The following is a 2,842-nucleotide window of genomic DNA, read 5'->3' on the forward strand; positions in this document are numbered from 1 at the left end:
ATTATTCTGGGGGCTGACCAAGAAATGTGCATCCAGTCACTGCAGTGACATCCCCAGTTTTATTCTCCAGAGTTAGGGTCCAGTAGGTCTGATCTGAGGCTGGGGCAGCTCCTTGATTACTCGTTCTTCTCCAAGCTTCTGCACCTCAAGTGCTCACCCAGATGGGGGGCCATAAGACCCTGCCTGGGCTTCTACAGAAGAAAGAGCCCTCTCCCATAGGCATTCAGGTCTCTGGATTTCTCAGAGTCTGTTTTTCCTGTTTGTGTTAATTTTCACAGCCAGTTATCCTATTTACATTTTTCTAAAGCTGTTCACAGGACTTGTTGTCAGTTATCCTATTTACATTGTTTTAAAGCTGTTCACAGGACTTGTCAGTTATCCTATTTACATTGTTCTAAAGCTGTTTACAGGACTTGTCCACAAGAATTCAACGTTCTTAAGTGGCTTTCGCTGACTTCCTCTTCCCCAAGCACAGCTGGGAATCCCCTTCCCTCAGACAGCAGCAAGCCTTCCTTCTCAGGTCACCAATGCAGGGCTCCATCTCTGCCTATTTCTAGTCACCTAACTCATAGTGAGCACCCACTGTGCGTCATTGAGCACTTCTGCAAGTCAAGGGTTTCATGCAGCCACTCCACCAGGTGGATGTGACTTCCCCATTTTAATGATGTGGAAAGTGAGGTTTGGTGAAGAAAATGTGCCTTATCAAAGGCTGAGCTTCTAGGATGTGGCCAAGCCAGGATTCAAACTGAGGTCTGTCTGAGTTCCGGTCTGCTGCATTCTCCTTCCTGTGACCAGAGTTAAGCTCTATTAAATGACAGACTGCACAAATATGAACTATCTGCAAAGCCTCCAAGCAGATCTGCCATCCTTTTCTACCCAAGGAAGACATAGTCCAGGTTTACTTTAGGCCAAGATACCAAAAGAGGAAACAGGCCATAACTCCCCTAACCAAGTGCACTCATGTTAGACATCAGATTCTTTCCAATGTTTCCTGATAAATGTGTAATTTACTGCTATCAGTTGGTATTGTATAGCAATTAAAATGAAGAAACCCTGTGAATCAGTTTGCCTGGCCTTGAATTCCCTTTATAATATAGTAGCCAAGTAACCTTGGCCAAATTACTGAGACTCTCTAAGCCTCAGCTTCCCATGTATAAATGGGGATGAGAATAATACTTACCTCATAGTGTTATGAGGAGCAAATAAGATGATGCATGGAAAGCACTTAAAACAGACTCTGGCATATGGTGTGAGCTCGATAAATCCCAGCTATTATTATTATCATAATATCTGTGCATAAATCTATCTGCAACTCTAATTGTTTTCTTAGGACAGATTCCAACAAGTAAAATCACTGTATCAAAGGGTGGCTCCTCATACATAGTGCTTAATTATCCTCCAGAAATTTTAGAGCGATTTATATACCCAATAGCAGAGCCTGCAGGAGTAAATGCAACATCCTTCATAGCAATAGACTCAAAAGATATATCAAATGCAGATGACTGTGATACTACAAAAGATGTTTGAATATCCTGCGGTTTTCATGTATATGGGTATAAACTTTCTCTTTTTAATGCCCTTTCAGTCATGGAAAGAACCAAGGCCCTGCTGGTCATCCCAAAGGCCTTTGATTTAAGAGAAAAGAGTTCAATTCCAGGTTCTTATGAGCTGTGAGATTTTAAGCTGGTTCATTCCTCTCTTGTTGCTCAAAAAAAAAAAGTTTTTTTTAAACAGGAATTATATATGGGCAGTATCTTCCTGTCATACTTGTTGTACCTACATATGCAGAGTAAATGTGACTATCCCTGGTGATAATAACTGTCAATATTTTTCTTTTTACATTTTTCTATTAATGCATTGCAATTGTGATTGTTCATATTATTATAGATATTTATTAATATAGCTATTCATATGCTCATGTCCAGTGTAGTTCAACTCCAACTCTACCAAAATCTTGCCATGTGACCAAGGGTTAGTGACTTCACCATTTTGGGTCTCTTTTTTTAATAACATTGAGGGGCTTGATCCAGATGATCTCCAGTGTCCATGTTTCTCTCATCTTGCCTTTCCATTTTTCAGGGTTTCTCAACTTCAACACTACTGACATGATCTGATTCAGATAATTCTGTTTTGTGCTGAAGGGAATGGGGTGGGGTGTGGCTGTCCTGAGCACTGCAGGAGTTTTAGCTGCATCCCTGGTCTCTACTACCCACAGGCGTCCGGCCCAAGTTGTGACAACTGAAAATACCTTCAGACATCACCAAATGTTCCCAGAGGGTCAAAATCATCCCCGGTTAATAATCTGCCATATGCTTAAGGGTGTCAGGCTTTGAGCGTTAAAGATTTGATTTAGAAGGGCTTTAATATATCTTCCAATCACAGAATTCCAAATGACCATGATGCCGTGACTGATTTGAACTTACACTCATGCACATGATACGTATTTGGGAGAAGCCCTTGTCATCTCCAGTGTCTCTTCCACCTCTTGATTTCCACAGGGATAGTCATCTACATCTTTGCTAGAGGTGACAGCTGAAATATCCAAACCATGGGCTTGGGGTCCATCTGACCTAGTCACCAGTCAGGTGCCTCTGGGGAAATTCTTTAGTTTTTCTAATCTTTTTTTCACTTGTGAAATCTGGATGACACCTCAGAGCCACTCGAGGATGACAAAATGTGACAAGCACAAGTGTACCTAGTACCAAGGATGAGGACGAATCCATTTGAGGGAAGCTGTTGCTTTCATTGTTTCCTATTGAATATGATTACCACTCCATTATTTCCCAGCCATAGCCTCGGGGTTTGGACCAAGTTTTCTTTTGACTTAGGTGTTTCCAGTCAG

General features: G+C 41.6%; 1 annotated feature.

Moving 5' to 3' along the window:
* Window positions 313-522: an enhancer, noted in NCBI's record as "active region_28748". NCBI's record gives its function as "activates an Ori minimal core promoter by ATAC-STARR-seq in GM12878 lymphoblastoid cells {active_cell/tissue: GM12878}" and the evidence as "EXISTENCE:reporter gene assay evidence [ECO:0000049][PMID:35858748]".

The sequence above is a fragment of the Homo sapiens genome, chromosome 9, assembly GCF_000001405.40.
Source record: "Homo sapiens chromosome 9, GRCh38.p14 Primary Assembly".
NCBI lineage: Eukaryota > Metazoa > Chordata > Mammalia > Primates > Hominidae > Homo > Homo sapiens.